At 29.3% G+C, this 1,735-nt stretch overlaps 1 annotated feature.

The window, feature by feature from the left end:
- Window positions 980-1,149: an enhancer, noted in NCBI's record as "experimental_96858 CRE fragment used in MPRA reporter constructs". NCBI's record gives its function as "activates a minimal promoter by MPRAs in K562 erythroleukemia cells, with activity observed for the introgressed 6:93004404 variant allele {active_cell/tissue: K562}" and the evidence as "EXISTENCE:reporter gene assay evidence [ECO:0000049][PMID:34662402]".

The raw sequence follows: 1,735 nt of genomic DNA, 5'->3' as shown, positions 1-1,735 counted from the left end.
GTATGTATTGCTGTTGCTGCACTACTGTATTATTTTATGCTAAATTGTTGGGAACGTGCAACTGGTATTGTTCAGATGTACAAGATGACAGTGAATAATAATGGGCAGCTTCCTGAAAGCAGTGAGGGTTAATCGAGGGTTTCAGAACATACAGGTATCAAACGTATAACATGTATCGTATCGAATATTAAGAAAAATTTCAAGATTACTTAGAAAATATAGAGCACAGCTTTGTATATACAAGTTTCAAAGGTTACATAAGTTTACACCTACACCAGTGATTGTTGCACAGGGCACACATTGAGCAGTAATCTATTTTTAAGGATTTATCCTAGTGAAACAATAGTATTTTTCAGAAGTATAATGTTATTTTTCAACTAAAGCCCACTACATTTTATATATTCAATTATATTTTAGTCTCTTAGGCATTAATTTATATGCATATGAAAATTATATTACACTAAATGTTTAGCTCTTGATTAAGTCTCTTTTATGTAATATTGTACCCAATCATTTTTATGGCTCAACATATATATATAACATGGCATAGTAAACAACATTAAAAGCACAAGAGCTATCTACTGAGTTCAATCAGCATTTTATTCAAGATCTGCATTCACTGCAGATTTTTATTTGCAACTTGGTATAAATTGAAATCTAAGCATACATATTATAAACAATCATGCTATATTAATGTTTTCCTATATATTGATCTATGACAGTTTTCCTATATATTGATCTCTGTATTTTTAACTTCCATGTGTTATTTCAAGAGCTGAAAAAGTAATTTCAAATATTAGAGCAAGATTTGAGATTCTCACCGCTATGTGTCAGAAAAAAAATTTTAGTAGTGCACAATGGTTGCATTTAAGAAGTATAATAATTTCAGAGAATATTCTAGATTTTTCTTCTAAAATTCAGAAGTGGGCTACTCATTTTGCAGAACAAAATGATAATAAGATTCAATGTATACAAGCCTTAACGTAGTAAAAAGAAAATTTAAAGGTTTCATCAGAGTCTTCGCTCTAGACACGTATGCTTTACATTAGATAGAAAGTAGGAAGAAAAGATGAACCCACATCTGAACAAATAATTATAGTTTTGGTCTTAGAAGATCTATAATTTTATTGTTATAAATAATACCTCTGAGGACTAGCTACTGTCTTGCATTTGAGGAGAAAAGAAGTAGATAACTGAGCTGACCCTGATTCTTTGTATAACCAGGTAGCTTACTAATGTCTATTGTAGAGATCACTGTCAATATTTACATATGGCTTATAATCCATTATTACTTCATTCTGAATAAACATGTGTTGACCTAACTAGTCAAATCTGTTAGAATATGCAATCTGCAATGTTCATGAAATGTGCATTTCTAGTAACAGATTCATTAGAGTCAAATTTTGGATCAAGAGCCACAGCTAACTTACAAATTTATGGGTACAAGTTACGGATATATTTTGTATGTGTATATATAAATATATATGTATATATATATAAAAATCTGTATGTGTATATATATATAAATCTATGCATATTCCATATATGCACCTAAGAACATACACCCTATTTGAGTGCTATTAAGAAATGATAAAGCTTCAATAAATAAGAAAAACAAGGAAAAGTCCTTAAAATGGTCATTAAAAAAGAATCCAGAATAAATTGAAGTATGAAAAAATCTCCTGACATGAAAAAGGAAACAACATTTTTATTCATCAAAATTCATAGTTTTTCT

This window comes from Homo sapiens, chromosome 6 (genome assembly GCF_000001405.40).
Source record: "Homo sapiens chromosome 6, GRCh38.p14 Primary Assembly".
Lineage (NCBI taxonomy): Eukaryota > Metazoa > Chordata > Mammalia > Primates > Hominidae > Homo > Homo sapiens.
Note: the sequence above shows the minus strand (reverse complement) of the source record. Positions and strands in the feature narration are given on the sequence as shown.